The sequence below is a fragment of the Homo sapiens genome, chromosome 10 (genome assembly GCF_000001405.40).
Source record: "Homo sapiens chromosome 10, GRCh38.p14 Primary Assembly".
Lineage (NCBI taxonomy): Eukaryota > Metazoa > Chordata > Mammalia > Primates > Hominidae > Homo > Homo sapiens.
Window position 1 is genome coordinate 73,546,498 of NC_000010.11, and position 19,169 is coordinate 73,565,666.

Sequence of the window (19,169 nt, forward strand, 5' to 3'; positions counted from 1 at the left end):
AACTTTTTAATTGTTTTGTAAGAGATGGGGTCTCACCATGTTGTCCAGGCTGGTCTCAAACTCCTGGGCTCATGCAGTCCTCTCACCTTGGCCTCTAAAATTGCTGGGATTACAGACGTGAATCACTGCGCCCAGCCTTATTAGTATTTTTCATGTAAAAAGTATCACACTGAATTTTACTTGTTGTTTTTTGTTTTTTATTTAGCATCGTTTTTGAGATCTATCCATGATGATATAGATATAGACCTGGTACACCTTTTCTCTGCTGTATAGCATTTTTATCGGGTCACTAACCCACATCTATTTATCCATTTCTTTACTGACAGACATTTTGGCTGTCTCCAATTTTTTGCTATTACAAAGACACAATGCCAACTTATACTTCTACCAATATATAGTAAAAATTTCCCCATATTCTTGTCAAAAATTAATACTGTGAGACCATTTAGTTTTAATTTAGTCTTTAATTTCGTCTTTCTGGGTCCTTTGTATTACTTGTGGCAAATATATTCTCCCAATCTACTGACCTTGGTGTATTTGAATGCACATCACTTTTTAATTTTGGTGTAATTAAATGTATCTTTTCCATCTTTACCTACATCTGAACCCTGATGAATATCATGTCCAAAGAGTAGAATCAGCCAGGTGCAGTGGCACACGCCTATAATGCCAATACTTGTAATCACTTGAGCTCAGGAGAACAAGACCAGCCTGGGCAACATGGTGAAACCCCGTCTCTACTAAAAATACAAAACTTAGCCCAGCATGGTGGTGCATGCCTGTAGTCCTGCTACTCGGGAGGCTGAGGCAAGAGAATCACTTGAACCCGGGAGGCTGAGGCTGCAGTGAGCTGAGATCATGCCACTGCACTCCAGCCCGAACTACTTTAAAGTTCATATGGAACCAAAAAAGAGCCTGCATTGCCAAGACAATCCTAAGCAAAAAGAACAAAGCTGGAGGCATCACGCTATCTGACTTCAAACTATACTACAAGACTACAGTAACCAAAACAGCATGGTACTGGTACCAAAACAGAGATATAGACCAATGGAACAGAACAGAGGCCTCAGAAATAATGCCACACATCTACAACAATCTGATCTTTGACAAACCTGACAAAATCAAGAAATGGGAAAGGATTTCCTATTTAATAAATGGTGCTGGGAAAACTGGCTAGCCATATGTAGAAAGCTGAAACTGGATCCCTTCCTTACAACTTATACAACAATTAATTCAAGATGGATTAAAGACTTAAATATCAGACTAAAACCATAAAAACCCTAGAAGAAAACCTAGGCAATACCATTCAGGACATAGGCATGGGCAAGGACTTCATGACTAAAACACCAAAAGCAATGGCAATAAAAGCCAAAATACACAAATGGGATCTAATTAAACTAAAGAGCTTCTGCACAGCAAAAGAAACTACCATCAGAGTGAACAGGCAACCTACAGAACGGTAGAACATTTTTGCAATCTATCCATGTGACAAAGGGTTAATATCCAGAATCTACAAAGAACTTAAACAAATTTACAAGAAAAAAAAAATAACCCCATCAAAAGGCGGGCAAAAGATATGAACAGACACTTCTCAAAAGAAGACATTTATGCAGCCAACAGACACATGAAAAAATGCTCATCGTCACTGGTCATCAGAGAAATGCAAATCAAAACCACAATGAGATACCATCTCATGCCAGTTAGAATGGTGATCATTAAAAAGTCAGGAAACAACAGATGCTGGAGAGGATGTGGAGAAATAGGAACACTTTTACACTGTTGGTGGGAGTGTAAATTAGTTCAACACTGTGGAAGACAGCGTGGCAATTCCTCAAGGATCTAGAACTAGAAATACCATTTGACCCAGCAATCCCTTTACTGGGTATATACCCAAAGGATTATAAATCATGCTACTATAAAGACACATGCACACGTATGTTTATTGCAGCACTATTCACAATAGCAAAGACTTGGAACCAAACCAAATGTCCATCAATGACAGACTGGATTAAGAAAATGTGGCACATATACACCATGGAATACTATGCAGCCTTAAAAAAAATGAGTTCATGTCCTTTGCAGGGACATGGATGAAGCTGGAAGCCATCATTCTCAGCAAACTATCACAAGGACAGAAAACCAAACACCGTATGTTCTCACTCATAGGTGGGAATTGAAGAATGAGAACACTTGGACACAGGGCAGGGAACATCATACACCGGGGCCTGTCGGGAGGTGGGGGGCTGAGGGAGGGATAGCATTAGGAGAAATATCTAATATAAATGACGAACTGATGGGTGCAGCAAACCAACACATGTATACCTATGTAACAAACCTGCACGTTGTGCACATGTACCCTAGAACTTAAAGTATAATTTTATTAAAAAAGTAATTTATTCATATTAAAATATCCAAGTTTTATTTTTCAGACATATTACTAACAAGACCAGAAATAAGACCATTTTATAAACCTACCTATGTGATCTAAGAATAGGAGGCCCCACCAACCTTGAGTGGTCAATTCTTGGTTTTCCTCTTACTTGACCTATCAGCAGCATTTAACTCAGCTAATCTTTAAAATACTTCCTTCCCCTGGTTCCAGGGCACCCCTTCAGGTTTTCTTCCTACCTCAGTGGTCAATGGTCACTCCTTATCAGTCTCCTTTGCTGGTTCCTTTTCAATTCCAAAACTCAGGCCTTGGACCTCTTGACTTCCCTAAAGTCACTCACATTCTTAGTGGTCTCATCTAACATGGTTTTACATACACATACATTGACAATTCCCAAAATTACACTAACAGCCCAAATCTCCCTCCTGAATTCCAAATTTGTAGTTGGCAAAAACTACAACTGCTTTTGTACCAACCTAATGTATCTAACTATATATTGGACGTCTACATTTGAATATCAATGGGCATTTCAAATTTAACATTCCCCAAACTAAATGTTTTATGTTTCCTCCCAACATCCACATTTTGCCTTCTTGTCCCATCTCAGTAAACACCGCCACCATCCTTGCAGTTGTTTAGGTCGAAAACCTTGGAAACCACCTGTGACCCTTCCCTTGCTTTCACAACTCCCATCCAATCTACAGGCAAATCCCCTATTTCCACTCTCAAATATATCTAGACCCTATTCCACTCTCAAATATATCTAGACCCTACACTGTTCACCACCTCATCTGCTATCAGCCTAGTCCAAGTCATCTCACCTCTTCACTGGATAATTGCAAGTTTCCTGACTGATCCCCTTGTCTCCCTGCAGAAACACACAGCAGACAAATACAGCAATCATATGATTTTTTAAAAATATAAATCAGATCATATCATTCTTCTGCTCAAAACTCTCTAAAGGCTTCCCATGGCATACACAGTAAAAGCCAAACTGCTAAGTCCTTACGTAATCTGGCCTACGATTCCACTTCTCTTTGTTTTGTTTTGTTTTTGAGATGGAGTCTCACTCTGTCACCCATGCTGGAGTGCAATGGTGTGATCTCGGCTCACTGTAACCTCCACCTCCCAGGTTCAAGCGATTCTGCTGCCTCAGCCTCCCAAGTAGCTGGGATTACAGGTATGTGCCACTACACCCGGCTAAGTTTTGCATTTTTAGTAGAGGCCGGGTTTTGCTATGTTGGCCAGGTTGGTCTTGAATCCCTGATCTCAGATGATCCACCTGCCTCAGCCTCCCAAAGTGCTGGGATAACAGGCGTGGGCCACCACGCCCAGCCATACTATTCTACTTCTGGTTCACCCTACACCAGCTGGCCCCTCACTATGCCCCAAACCTACCATGTATATCTCTGCACTTGAGTTCTATGCCTGGATCATTCTTCCTCTAGATATGTATGGCTCAATCACTCATTTCCTGTGGATTTTTTATCCAAATACTACCTTCTCTATAATAGAGTACTTCCTGATCACCCTCTTTAAAATTGTAAGCTCCACCCTCCCTTCCCCAAACTCCCCACTCTTACATATTTTTTCTCTATAGCAATTATTACTATCTGTCATACTATATATTTTACTTGTCTGATTCCAATATTGAGAATATAAGACATAAATCTTTATCCTTTTATTCTGTGTATATTCCCAGCAACTAGGACAGTACTGGCATACAAAGTGTAACCGATAACTATTTTTAAATGAATCAATTAATCATTATGTGATGCAGGTAGATCTAAGGGGGAGATATTATTAAAATCTGTTTTTTTTTAAATAAGTAAGGAATCACCTTAAAAAGCAGAAAAACTTTCTTAAGGTAATATTACTGGTTAGGACAAAATAAGACTAAATTTAGTTCTGCTAATTTCAGGTCAAAATTGTTTTTCCGGCCAGGCGTGGTGGCTCACGCCTGCAATCCCAGCACTTTGGGAGGCCGAGGTGGGCGGATCACGAGGTCAGGAGATCGAGACCATCCTGGCTAACAAGGTGAAACCCCGTCTCTACTAAAAATACAAAAATTATCCAGGCATGGTGGCAGGTGCCCATAGTCCCAGCTACTGCGGAGGCTGAGGCAGGAGAATGGCGTGAACCCAGAAGGCAGAGCTTGCAGTGAGCCGAGATTGCATACTGCACTCCAGCCTGGGCGACAGAGCAAGACTCTGTCTCAAAAAAAATAAATTGTTTTTCCCATTCTGCCCTCTCACTAGCACCTTTCCTCCTCATACACACTGAATATCTACTGCAGCAGCTCAAGAACAGATTACTGTGTAACCTGCTATTATGTTCCTACAAATGTCTCCATATGATGTGGGAGAGGCAGTGCCAGCAATACATATTTAGTATTATTTAATAAGCTGTGAGGGAAATCTGTTATAATTACTCCACATTATTTTGGCTTAACCTAGAAATTTATACACAAGTCCACTATAAGGTCAAGGAAAGGCAGGGCAGGCCTTCCATAATTTGTTACTGGAAGGGGAAGAATGTCTATCAGTAACCTCTTAAACTAGACCAAAAGGAATGATCTAGGTCCACAGTTAAATAATTGGATATGTGTCCAGTGACCTATGGGATTTTGAACCTTTGGAGAAATAAGGAGAAACAAAGGAAAAGGAAGGGGGAAAAAGCAGTGACTGCTTTTACAAATTGCATAGTGGCCTGACGACATGATGATTTGTTGAAAGAAGGTCAACCCAGCTTGGCAAAATTTAGTGACCACTATTACATCCCAGCCTGTTGCTCTTCTCAATTGTTACTGGTAAGAAATTACTGCTGACATAGGCTCTATTACAGAACAAAGGATGGATGAGGTTTGGTCCTTTGTTCAAAATCCAAAATTGGTTCCAAAACAAACCAATAGGAAATTATTTCCAGGATAGTTCTATACAAATCTGAAATTTATAAACTCTGGCCCCTTTAGTCTTCTTCAACTGGATTTCCTCAAGAATTAAGCCCTAATACTCTAGGGCCTCAACTGTTCCTAATGAAATAGCAACTCTCCTATGCATAGCACTAGCTATATGGCATCTTGGAGAGAATTAAGAAAATAGTCACTCTAATCACTTTGTGTTCTGTGTGGTTCAGATGACCCTGTTAGAGAAAGACAGGGCTCCACTCAGAGACGGTATGGTGTAATGGTTAAGAGACTGGATTCTGGAGCTAAAATGGGTTCAAAATCCCAAGGCTGACACTTCAGCTATATGATCTCGGGTAAATTATTTAACTTCTTAAGGCTTCAGTTTCTCTTTTAAAAGAGAGTTTAATAATAGCATTTACACCAGCCTGACCAATATGGTGAAATCCCGTCTCTACTAAAAATACAAAAAGTAGCCGGGCGTTGCGGTGAGCGCCTATAGTCCCAGCTACTCGGGAGGCTGACACAGGAGAATTGCTTGAACCTAGGAGGCGGAGGTTGCAGTGAGCTGAGATCGTACCACTGCATTCCAGCCTGGGTGATAGAGTGAGGCTCCATCTCAAAAAAAAAAAAAAAAGTATTTACTACCCAGGGTTATTTGAGGATTAAATGAGTACACACACACACACACACACATATATATATAAGATATACATCAGCCGGGCGTGGTGGCCCACGCCTGTGATCCCAGCACTTTGGGAGGCTGAGTCGGGAGGATTACCTAAGGTCAGGAATTCGAGACCAGCCTGGCCAACATTGTGAAACCCCATCTCTACTAAAATTACAAAAATTAGCCAGGTGTGGTGGCAATCACCTGTAATCCCAGCTACTCAGGAGGCTGAAGCAGGAGAATTGCTTGAACCCGGGAGGTGGAGGCTGCAGTAAGCTGAGATCACACCACTGTACTCCAGCCTGGACGACAGAGTGAGACTCTGTCTCAGGAAAAAAACAAACAAAAATATAAATGTATATATCCTAGACTAATCTCTGTCAGTGTGATAAGTGCTAAATGTTAGGTATTATTACTATTATTGTATTTGGGAGTCATTTCACGTTGCTAAAGAGCCTGTCTGTCACTGTCCTATGATGAAAGAAGGGATCTGAGTCAGGTGCTTCTACCTTGAGCTACTTCCTCAGTCTCTGAGATCTGAGTAGGAAGAACTACAGTTTTTTCTCTTCTCCATTCTGTTTCTCCCACTCAAAGGAGGCATATTTCCCATGACCTAGATAACAAGGGTTTCAGTAGAGAAAGGGAAAGGTCTTAAGGTCAGAGCTCTGACTGCACCCAGAGTGGGTCTGTAACAATAGATCTGGCTCCCCAGTTCAGTGGTATCAACGTCTCCACAATATAATCTTTTCTCACCTCTTAATTACAGGCAGCCTTCCTCATACACACTGAGAATCTGAATGCATTCAGAATGGCCTCTGACTACATCTTCTTTATTCTCTTATTTTAATTATTGTTGTCAGTCTTGCTCTGCTATTGTTAGGAAGAAGCAAGTGTATTAGGGGTAAAGCTGACTGAGCCCGCCCAGCATGCATCTGTGGAGCTCTGGAAGAAGCTGTAGCACAAAGCCCCTCTGTTAGAGCAGCACACTAACCTCTGTGTGTCCCTCTCACATGAGCACAGGGACTGGAATGGGCCTCCTCCCATTCTCTTTTTCACCCTCCTCCCACCTTTCCCAGAGGGAGATCCTGTTCACACCAAAGAAAGCCAAGAACATTTAGTTCAGCAGTAAGAACAGGTGGCAGCACCAATAAGGAACAAAAACTGGTATTCTTCCAATTGCTGAGTTCTATGACAGGCAGAGAGAAAGGGCAGGAAGAACCAAAACCCAAGAATCACTTTTCCTGTGAGGTCCCTGATGGTTCCATTTCAACAAGTAGAGAAAATCCACCTTGGAGTTTCTCTCTGCTCTTCTTCACAGGGTGAAACCAAAGAGGTCTTCCTTTTCATTCTCAGGAAAAGGCAAATCACTTTTTGTCTGTTAACTAGTTTCTTGGATGCAGTACAAAAGCAACAAGATTTTAACGACTAAAAGCAGGTGCTTCCCCACCCATCTCTCTTGATTAAGCAGCAAACAATTCTATCCACATGAGCACATAATTATTTGGATTAGTAAAAACCATGTAAATAAGATAGAAGTGCCATAAAAACAGAAAGTCTTTATGCTTCGACATCTACAAATGCAGCTGTTGCTTAAGTATTTTTCCCCTAAAACAGACTCTTGTCTTTAAGTGGGGAACAGCTGTTTTTTTCTCTCTCAGGATTTCCCAGTCTTATATCTAAAAGAAGTCATGAGTAGAGAAGGTGAGGATTAAGGAGAAAGGTTGTCACTAATTTTGGTGCTTTTTGAGCTCAAGGTCTTTGGAAAGTGCTCCAGTGGGCAGCCCACTTCATCCCTGCAATACCTTCTGCAAAGGTGTGACAAACTTTACACCCTGCCATTAACTCAATTCTTAGGGTTTCTCTTCTCAACCTGGACTTCCCAATTTTGGCTCTCATAATCACTGCTTTCGCTACATCTCCTGGGAATCATAGAACTTAATTGGCCAGTCTGGCTTCTTTGTAAACACTACCCTCTGTAAGTAAGTTAAAGGAGCTAGTCCTTGAGGATCACTGACTACTGGAAAAGAGACGTTCACTTGGTTTTCTGTATTCAAAAGAATGTTGAAAGTTGTCTTTTAAGAGGGGAAAAACATTTTACCCTTTTGGCACTCAAAAATAATAACATAGGATTTTAACATTTTATTGTAAAAAATTTCAAACATACAAGAGTAGACAGAAGAGCTAAATCAACTCCCTTTATTTATCATTCAACTTCAACAATTATCAACCTGTGGCCAATCTTATTTCATCTATACCACCCATCCACTTAACTTACTCTCAGATCATTTTGAAACAAGTGCCAAACATTTTTCATTTGTAAATATTTCAAAATATATCTCTAAAAAATAATAACTTTTTCTCTGAAACATGACCATAAGGCTGGGCACTGTGGCTCATGCCTATAATCCCAGCACTTTGGGAGGATGGCTTAAAGCCAGGAGTTTGAGACCAGCCTGGGCAACAAGGCAAGACCTTGTCTCTACAAAAAAAAATTAACTGGGTACAGTGGCATATGCCTGTAGTTTCAGCTACACAGTTGGCTGAGGTGGGAAGATCATTTAAGCCCAAGAGTTCCAGGCTACAGTGAGCTATAATTGCACCACTGCACTTCAGCCTGGGTGACAGAGCAAGACCCTGTCTCAATAAATAACTAAATAAATAATAATATCATTATCACACACACCCCAAAAGTTATTAATGTCTTAATATCATCACATATGTAATTTAATACGAACTCTTGATCTAACTTTGGGGAAGGCAGAGAAGAGCTGGCTAGTTTCTCCCTTGAGATTCTCTAACCATATATCTACCTTCTGGACTCTCAATTAGAAAAGCACATACCTATCCTTTACCAGTCTCTTTAAATTAAAGTCAATTATCAATACCATATCACCTCATAACTTTAAGACTTTATTTGCATTCTGTTCATAACAATATTTTGGACTTGCAATGGTGAGGTTAAAGACAATCATAAGCTACATATCACACTCATTCCTGCTACCAGCTATGCAAAATAGAGGCAACTCACATATGCACAAAGACAAGAGACACAGATAAACAGTAACACCAAGACTTCAAGACAATGGACAGAGACAGAGATGGGCCAAATTCGCCACAGAAAGGTATTGCTTTTAATGAGAAATAATAAGCTAATGTTGAGGTTTTATAAAATACAGTAGTCAATTTACTAATTTTTGCCAAGATCAAAACTGCAAGACTCTTATAAATTACCAACAGTATTCAAATCAAATTTTGAGAATACATAACCACTTACCCCACAGGAAAAACTGAAAGGGGACACCCTTCTGGATATGCACAAGGTTTTGAGATTGTCTAAACTGTAGGATCTGCCATAAATTCTGGCAAGGAAAGAATCATGATGATTCACTACATGTTTCCTTGCAGTCGTACCCCTTCTATTTGAATATCATATACAATTCTGAACTCCAAATTTTAAAAAAAAGCTGAAGCATTCATTTTATACTATTCAAGTTTTGCCAATGGATAAATTAGTTGAGAATATTTAAACCAGTCACAGTCTAATAGGAACTTAAAACTAAGGGAAGGATGATCAAAGGACCATATAAATATGCTCATATTCATACATAGGTGATCAAAACAATGAAGTTAACTCAAGTAGATGATATTTGGATTAGACATAAGGACATACTTCCTTATGTGAGAGCTGTTTATTACCAGCTAAAATTTCTAGGGAATATACTAGAAATCTAATTTCCTGGTTTCAAGAATCAGTTCAGAATAATGAGTTTTCTCTTCTCTGATAGTGGCTGTGACTAAAGAACAATGAAGAACCTTCCATTTCTACAATCTGCAAAAGAAAGGAATGGATTAATAATGAACAATGGGTAATTTCTTTTTTTTTCTTTTTTTTTTTTTTTTGAGACAGAGTCTCCCTCTGTCACCCAGGCAACAATCATGCAGTGGCACCATTTCGGTTCACTGCAACCTCCACCTCCCAGGTTGAAGCAATTCTCTGCCTCAGCCTCCCAAGTAGCTGGGATTACAGGCACCTGCCACCACGCCCGGCTAATTTTTGTATTTTTAGTAGAGACAGGGTTTCACCATCTTGGCCAGGCTAGTCCTCAACTCCTGACCTCGTGATCCACCCGTCTCGGCCTCCCAAAGTGCTGGGATTACAGGCATGAGCCACCGCGCCCGGGCTGAGTAATTTCTTATATCATTTTATTCTCTGTGCTTATGCTTCAGTACACAACAGAGAAACAGGCATAAGGTATAACTTGAAAAATACTAGAGATTCCTTGAATTCTCACATTTCCCCCAATTAACAAGTGGACTACGAGTAAAACACATACCTTCCTGCCCCATTAGAACAGTCTAACCGCTCTCCACATATAGATATTACAGGATACCTTATATACGAAATTCTGTTTCCTCCCCACCCACCCTCTACCAGCACCATTCCCAGGCTTTTATGCCTTATACTAGCATTCTTAAAAGAAAAATCACTAATTGAGAAGATTTGTTTAATTTAATCAATCAATGCACATTCTGCTTTGCCTATAACAAAAAACACTCTGTCCTACATCCTGGCACTGCAAAGCCTCTAGTACAATCCCTGGAAGAACAAAATCTTTGTGGCACACTAAATACAGAGGACGGATTTCCTATCCTGAACAGAGATAAATAAATAAGCCAACACCAAAGTCAAGTCATACCCTGGGGGCCAGGGGTGTAAGAGTAGATTCATTGTGAATAATAAATAAGACCACTGGGCTACAGGCATAACAGTAACTTAGGTCAGAAAAAATATTTTAGTGATATGAGATAGAATAAATTTGGGGCTTTTGAGGGGACAGGGTAATTAGCACACAAACTTCTTCAATTTTTTTTTTTTTTGAGATGGAGTCTTGCTCTGTCACCCAGGCAGAAGCGCAGTGGCGCAATCTCGCTCACTGCAACCACCACCTCCCAGGTTCAAGTGATTCTCCTGCCTCAGCCTCCCAAGTAGCTGGGACTATAGGTGCCGCCCACCACACCTGGCTAATTTTTTTTTTTTTTTTTGAGACGGAGTCTCACTCTGTCGCCAGGCTGCAGTGCAGTGGCGCGATCTCAGCTCACTGCAACTTCCACCTCCCGGGTTCAAGCGATTCTCCTGCCTCAGCCTCCCGAGTAGCTGGGACTACAGGCGCATGCCACCACACCCAGCTAATTTTTGTATTTTTAGTCGAGACAAGGTTTCACCATGTTGGCCAGGCTGGTCTCAAACTCCTGACCTCAGGTGATCCACCCACCTTGGCCTCCCAAAGTGCTGGGATTACAGGCCTGAGGAAGTTTTATTCTCAAAAGGAGAATAAATGGGTTATTTATCAAATAAATGGGTTCAGTGACTAACCACATCAAGACCAGCTCAAGAAGGATTTAAAGAGCTATTATTCTTTTTTTTTTTTTTTTTTTTTTGAGATGGAGTCTTGCTCTGTTGCCCAGGCTGGAGTGCAGTGGCTCGATCTCGGCTCACTTGCAACCTCGCCTCCAGGGTTCAAGTGATTCTCCTGTCTCAGCCTCCTGAGTAGCTGGAACTACAGGTGCACACCACCACACCCAGTTGATTTTTGTATTTTAGTAGAGACGGGGTTTCACCATGTTGGCCAGGATGGTCTCGATCTCTTGACCTCATGATCCGCCCACTTCGGCCCCACAAAGTGCTGGAATTACAGGCATGAGCCACCACGCCCAATCTTCAATTTTTAAGTCAGAATTGACAGGCATCATGGTTCAAAGTAAGCAGAATGACATACTGACACAAACTATTTTCAATGAAAGGCATAATTAGTAACTTGCATGCAAGATTTTGAGGCTGAATTTGCTGTAGGGACTTAGTATCAAGTAACACAGAAAAAACCCAGTACATTTTACAGAACCAAAGGAAAGGGATCATAAATTCTATGTACAAATCAAAGTGATTATAAGTACTGGATACAATACTATACAATTGCATACAGGCATGGGATTGTATTATAGTATACATTATAGTATACAATACTATACAAATGTATAAAATTGTATACAGGCATGAACCACCGCACCTGGCCTCAGGAATATATATCTTTAAGCCAGACATGGAAAGGCAAGTCCCTCATCTAAACATCAGACTAAGGGAAAGTTGGCCAGCCTCTGATTCATCTAGAAACATGTTAGTGTTTCCTTTTGTCCTTACCAGTGGTTCCTAGAGTGAATAATTATGCTCCAAATAAAAGAAATCTGACTTTACAGAATTGGCAAGTCCTTATAAAGCTGACTCTTGAACAACTCAGTGGTTAGGGGAACTGACCCCATACAGTTGTAAATTTGTGTATAACTTTTGACACCCCAAAAACTTAACTACTAATAGTCTACTGGAAGCCTTACCAATAATATAAATACTTGATCAATATTAATACATAGACTACTATCTACATATGTTATGCATTTGTGACATAACTTTTTCTTAATTTTTTTGATATTTCTAGGCTACATGGTTTGTTTTTTCAAATTGTCACAAATCTCAAAAAATTTTATAATATATCTATTGAAAAAAATACATATAAATGGACCCACACAGTTCAAACCCGTGTTGTTCAACGGTTAACTGTATTTCAAATTGAGAAAGTTTGGAGTTTCCTGTTTTGAAAAACAAAACTACAAAACAAGAATTTTACAACCAGGCATAGTTGCTCATGCCTATAATCCCAGCACCTTGGGAGGCCAAGACAGGTGGATCACCTGAAGTTGGGAGCTCAAGACCAGCCCGGCCAACACGGTGAAACCCTGTCTCTACTAAAAATACAAAAAATTAGTAGGCTGGGCGCGGTGGCTCACACCTGTAATCCCAGCACCTTGGGAGGCCAAGGCAGGCAGATAACCTGAGGTCGGGAGTTCGAGACTAGCCTGATCAACATGGAGAAACCCTGTCTCTACTAAAAATACAAAATTAGCCAGGCATGGTGACACATGCCTGTAATCCCAGCTACTAGGGAGGCTGAGGCAGGAGAATCACTTGAACCTGGGAGGTGGAGGTTGCGATGAGCCTAGATTGCGCCATTGCACTCCAGCCTGGGCAATAAGAGCAAAACTCCACCTAAAAAAAAAAAAAAAAAAATTAGACGGGCGTGGTGGAAGGCGCCTGTAATCCCAGTTACTCTGGAGGTGGAGGCAAGAGAATCACTTGAACCTGGGAGGCGGAGGTTGCAGTGAGTCCAGATCGCACCACTGCACTACAGCCTGGGTGACAGAGCCAGACTCCATCTCAAAAAAAAAAAAAAGTATTTTACATATCAGCTTCACATTAGAGAATGCAAACAGGGCCGGGCATGGTGACTCATGCCTGGAATCCCAGCAGAGTTTGGGAGGCCAAGGAGGGCAGATAGCTTGAGGTTAGGAGTTCGAGACCAGCTTGGCCAACATCGTGAAATCACATCTCTACTAAAAATATATACAAAAATTAGCCACCACCTACTGGGGAGACAGAGGCAGGAGAATCACTTGAACCTGGGAGGCAGAGGTTGCAGTTAGCTGAGATAGTGCCACTGCACTCCAGCCTGGGTGACAAAGCGACCCCATTTCAAAAAAAAAAGAGGGAATGCAAACAGATCTTAAGGATTCAGCAAAAAGGAATTCTTATTAGCCTCATCAAACATCCCTCTAATTTTTAAATAGGAAGCAGTGAAAAAATGGGATTTAAGTATATAAAATTATACCCACACTGGAAACACCACAAGATAACATGTAACTTAACCACAGAATACCAGATAAATGCTTTGCTGACAGAATCCCAGGCCTGCTTTCTTCTTTCAGCAGGTCTTTTCCATCATCACTCTAGCCTCACCCACAATACACACATATTTCACCCTTCCCTTACCAAATGAGAAAGGCCTACTAAAAAAAGTGAGACCAGGCCGGGCATGGTGGCTCACGCCTGTAATCCCAGCACTTTGGGAGGTCGAGGCGGGCGGATCACAAGGTCAGGAGATCAAAGACCATCCTGGCTAACATGGTGAAACCCCGTCTCTACTAAAAATACAAAAAAAAAAAAAAATTAGCCGGGCATGGTGGCGGGTGCCTGTAGTCCCAGCTACTCAGGAGGCTGAGGCAGGAGAATGGCGTGAACCCGGGAGGCAGAGCTTGCAGTGAGCTGAGATCGCGCCACTGCACTCCAGCCTGGGTGACAGTGCAAAACTCCGTCTCAAAAAAAAAAAAAAAAAAAAAAAAAAGTGAGACCAAAAGTCACAGGATGAAAACCTCTTTCCATCAAATAGGACAAGAGTGAGAAAGGTCATAAAAGACAGGAAGAAAAATGGAAGGCAACTACCAAAAACTCCGTAACTATTTAATAAAATCCAAGAAGCCCGGGTACGGTGGCTCACACCTGTAATCCTAGCACTTTGGAAGGCCGAGGTGGGCAGATCACAAGGTCAGGAGTTCGAGACCAGCCTGGCCAATATGGTGAAACCCTGTCTCTACTAAAAAAATACAAAAATTAGCCGGGCGTGGTGGCAGGTGCCTGTAATCCCAGCTACTCAGGAGTCTGAAGCAGGATAATCGCTTGAACCCGGGAGGCAGAGGTTGCAGTGAGCCGAGATCATGCTATTGCACTCCAGCCTGGGCGACACAGCGAGACTCCATCTCAAAAAAAAAAAAAAAAAAAAAAAAGAAATCCAAGAACTACCAAAAGATTCTATCAACCCAGAAAACACAGAAAAGTAGAGTGTTTATAGTATGGTCCAAGCACTGTACTAGGCACTGTGAGAAATAACAAGAGAGAAGAGTTGAGCTATTTTCCCAAAAATTCATTCAGCCATGCTAAATACTATTAAGTCAAACAATCATAGTTCTAGATAGATAGCATTTCTAAAACTTCATGAAGGGCAGGGCACAGTGACTCACATCTGTAATCCTAGCAGCTTGGGAGGCCAAGGCAGGAGGATCACTTGAGGCCAGGAGTTTAAGGCCAGCCTGGACAACATAGCAAGATCCTGTCTCCATTTTTTTTAATTAAAAAATTTAAAATTTAAATAAAACTTCATGAAGAAGCTAACTTCTGAAGCAGAGTTCTGAAAAGTGAATGTGGTTTGGCAAAAGGGAGGCAAAACACTCCACGCAAAGTGAATGGCATCTGAAATGTCTAAGAGGTAGACATAGCAAGTGCATTGTTATCACAGTTGAAATGCAGAATGCCCAGGGAAGGAAAGGAAAGAAATATAAAATTAAGTTTTAAAATGTTTGTAATCATGCATTTTTAAGTGATTTAAGAAACAAGTGGGAGCCACTTCAGGATTATGAGAAGATACTAACTTCAATATAGCATTCCAGGGTATTCTTAGGTTTAAAAACAAATGAAGTAGGAAGATACTACAGATAGAGGGGCAATTTAGGGATCTGGAAAAAAGTAATCTTTTTACAAAAACAGTGGGCAAAAAGACTTACTACCAGAAATACAGACCAGACGGGAAGCATAAAAAGAAATGACAATCTGTTAGCTGGGCGTGGTGGCACACACCTGTAATCCCAGCTATTCGGGAGGCTGAGGCACGAGAATTGTTTGAACCTAGGAGGTAGAGGTTGCAGTGAGCCGAGATCATGCCACTGCACTCCAGCCTGGGTGATAGAGCAAAACTCTGTCTCATTAAAAAAAAGAGAGAGAGAGAGAAAAAAATTACAATCTCCATGCTAGAATTCAGGCAATTTTCAGCTTTCCTCTTTACACTTTAGTGTGCTTCCTAGAATGGTTGCAGTGCTTTTCTATATTTTATAATTAAAATAGTCACATAAAAAGAGAATAAACATAACATATACACATACATAGCCAAAGAATAATAAACACCCACACACCCATGTGCTCACCACCCAATTTAAGAAATAGAAAAATAAACCACGAGTTTAAACCTCTCCAACTGATTACATACTTACATGAAATCTACCCTCCACCTTCTACAGAACACAACTATCCTGAATTTTGTGAAAAGCACTTCCTTTTTCTCTACAGACTTATCACATGCATGTACCCCTGAACAATATGTTCTTCAGTTTTGCCTGGTTTTGATTTATATATAAATGGAATCATGATTCATATAGTCTTCTATGACTTGCTTTTTTCAATCAATGTGATGTTTTATGAGATTAGCCCAAGTTGCTGCATGCAGCTGCAGAATTCATTTTCATTACTATATAGTGTTTTACTATTGGAATAAACCATAATTTTTAAATCCACTCTAGTGTAGTTGGAATGTGTTATTTCCATTTTTCTACAATCTCAAAATATACTACTTTGAACATTCTCAAATATATCTTCTGGCACATTATGTATCAAGAAGTTTTCTACAATGTATTGCTAGGGGTGGAACTGCGAGGTGGTTACATGGTACAAGTTCAATTCTACTAAGTAATGATAAACTGTTTTCCTAAGTAGTGATATCAATTTATATTCTAGCTAGCAATGTATGTAAAGTTCTCATTATTCCACATTTTTGGTAACACTCAATTTTTTTTTCTTTTAGAGATAGACCCTATCTGTCACTCATGCTGGAGTGCAGCAGCATGATCAAGGCTCACTGCAGCCTCAATCTCTTGGGCTCAAGTGATCTTTCCACCTCAGCCTCCCAAGTAGCTGGGACCACAGGCACACACCGACATGCCCAGATAATTTTTAAAAATGTTTTCGTAGAGACAGGATCTCACTTTGTTGTCCATGGTGGTCTCAAACTCCTGAGCTCAGCGATCCTCCTGCCTCAGCCTCCCAAAGTGCTGGGATTACAGATGTGAGCCACCACAGCCTGGCAGTAACAATTTTATCAGATTTTTAAATGTCCACCAACCTGAAGGGTATGGCTCAATTTACATTTCTTAGATTACTAATGGGGGCAAGCATTTTTCATATGCTCAGGGGTTATTTGGGTTTCCTATCCTGAGAAAGGCCTGTTTGTAGCTTTGTCCATTTTTCTCTTGACTCATTTATCTTTTATTTATTTATTTACTTATTGATATGGAGTTTCGCTCTTGTTGCCCAGGCTGGAGTGTAATGGCACGATCTCAGCTCACCACAACCTCCACCCTCCGGGTTCAAGTGATTCTCCTGCCTCAGCCTCCCAAATAGCTGAGATTACAGGCATGCACCACCACGCCCAGCTAATTTTGTATTTTTAGTAGAGACAGGGTTTCTCTATGTTGGTCAGGCTAGTTTCAAACTCCCGACCTCAGGAGATCTGCCCGCCTCGGCCTCCCAAAGTGCTGGGATTACAGGCGTGAGCCACCGCACCCAGCCTTTTATTTATTTTTTATAGGAATTTTCTGGAGTTCTATGCTGGATACTAATCTTTTGTTACATATATATGTTGAAGATATTTTCTCCAGGTTTGTAGCCTTGTCTCTTTGCATTCTTTATGGAGTCTTTAGATGAATGAAAGTTTTTGAATTTTTGTAGTAAAATTTATCAATTTCCTAACTTTTTTTTCATGTCTTATTTAATAAGTACTTCCCTATCCCTGAGGTCATGATACTCTCTCATATGTTCTTCTAAAACTTAAAAAAAACAAAAAAAAAACACTGAGACAGAGTCTCACTCTGTCACCCAGGCTGGAGTATAGTGGCACAAACACAGCTCACTGCAGCCTCGACCTCCTGGGCTCAAGTGAACCTCCTGCCTCAGCCTCCCAAGTAGCTGGGCCGACAGGTGCGCATCACCATGCCTGGCTAATTTTTGACTTGTTGTAGAGACAGGATCTCATTTTGTTGCCTAGGCTAGTCTCAAACTCTTAGGCTCAAGCGATCCTCCCACCTTGGCCTCCCAGAGTGCTGAGGTTAGAGGTGTGAGTCACATTTTAGTCCTTAATATCTGAAATTCTTACTTTTGGTACGGTATGAAATAGGAAACTAATTTCCTTTTTTCTTTTCCCTATAGGGAGAACTAATTGTCTAAACACCATTTATTGAAAAATCCATTTTCTCCTTAGATTCACAGGGCAAGTAGCAAGTTTCCTATATGACTATTTCTGAACTACAAATTTTGTTCCATTGATTTATTTGCCATACTGTGTAGATACCACATTATCTTAATTATTAGTTTTATAATTCTTGATATCTGGTAAAGTATGCTAGTCATTAATACTGTTTGGCAAATATCTCTGGTCTTACCCCTCTCAAGGATCACCATAGGACTACAGTTCCAGGTTCCCTTGTGGGTCAATGGGACAAGATTAATTCTGTTTCAATGAGCTGTGAGCAAAAGTGAAATGACCTGCTGAGCATTTAACTGCCTGTGCAAAATCCTCCAGAGCTCTTTTTTCCCTCTGGCTTAGCAACTAATATTTTATATGGTGGTCAAGCATAGTGGCTCATGCCAGCACCTTGAGAGGCCAAGGTGGGAAGATGACTTGAGGCCAGGAATTCAAGACCAGCCTTGGGTAACATAGCAAGTCCTCATCTCTACCAAAAAAAAAAAAAAAAAAAAAAAGGAGTTGGGCATGGTGGCACACATCTATAGTCCTAGCTACTTGGGAGGCTGAGGCACAGAATTGCTTGACCCCAGGAAACTGAGGCTGCAGTGAGCTATGACTGGTACCAGTGTACTCCAGGCTGGGTGACAGAGCAAGATCCTATCTCTAAAAAATAATAATACTCAATATGATTGTAGCTTTGGTACCTAAGTGATATAATCAGTAGTATCCCTACTTATCTTTAGTGAATGAGAAATAAATCTTTGGTATATTAATCACAGGGATTTTATGGTTGTTTGTTACCACAATATAATTTAGCATACTCTGGGCCAGGAATGGTAGTTCATGCCTGTAATCCCAGCACTTTTGGAAGCCGAAGTGAAAGGACTGCTTGAGCCCAGGAGTTCAAAACCAGCCTAGGCAACATAGTGAGAACCCATCTCTACCAAAAATTTAAAAATCGCCAGACATGGTAGCACCTGCCTGTGGTCCCAGCTACTCGGGAGGCAGAGGCAAGAGGATTCCTTGAGCCCAGGAGGTTGAGGCTGCAGTGAACCATAATAGCCCCACTACACCCCAGCCTGGGCAACAGAACAAGATCCTATTTCAAATAAATAAATAAATAAATAACTTAGCCTACCTACTCTGAGGTCACTCACTCTGTTGTTACTTTTCAGCAGTGTCATATTTTTCCGTTTGTTACGTAAATTTCAGAACTGTCTTTTCTCAACTTCCAAAATAAGCCTACTGATCAGAGTA

General features: G+C 40.8%; 1 protein-coding gene across 27 annotated transcripts in view, besides 1 other annotated feature; it reads right to left on the reverse strand.

The window, feature by feature from the left end:
• The window catches only part of USP54 (ubiquitin specific peptidase 54), a 128,444-nt gene that overhangs the window by 48,960 nt on the left and 60,315 nt on the right, over positions 1–19,169 (reverse strand). The window contains exon 1 of one of the 27 annotated variants that reach the window (NR_135250.2): positions 6,718–6,843. The exons of the other annotated variants lie outside the window; for them this stretch is intronic. The gene's annotated coding sequence lies outside the window, so the exon portion shown is untranslated. Of the gene's footprint in view, positions 1–6,717; positions 6,844–19,169 lie in introns of those variants that run through there. 27 annotated transcript variants of the gene reach the window in all.
• Positions 2,541–2,741: a silencer, noted in NCBI's record as "peak1012 fragment used in MPRA reporter construct". NCBI's record gives its function as "represses an SCP1 promoter by STARR-seq MPRAs in K562 erythroleukemia cells {active_cell/tissue: K562}" and the evidence as "EXISTENCE:reporter gene assay evidence [ECO:0000049][PMID:32103011]".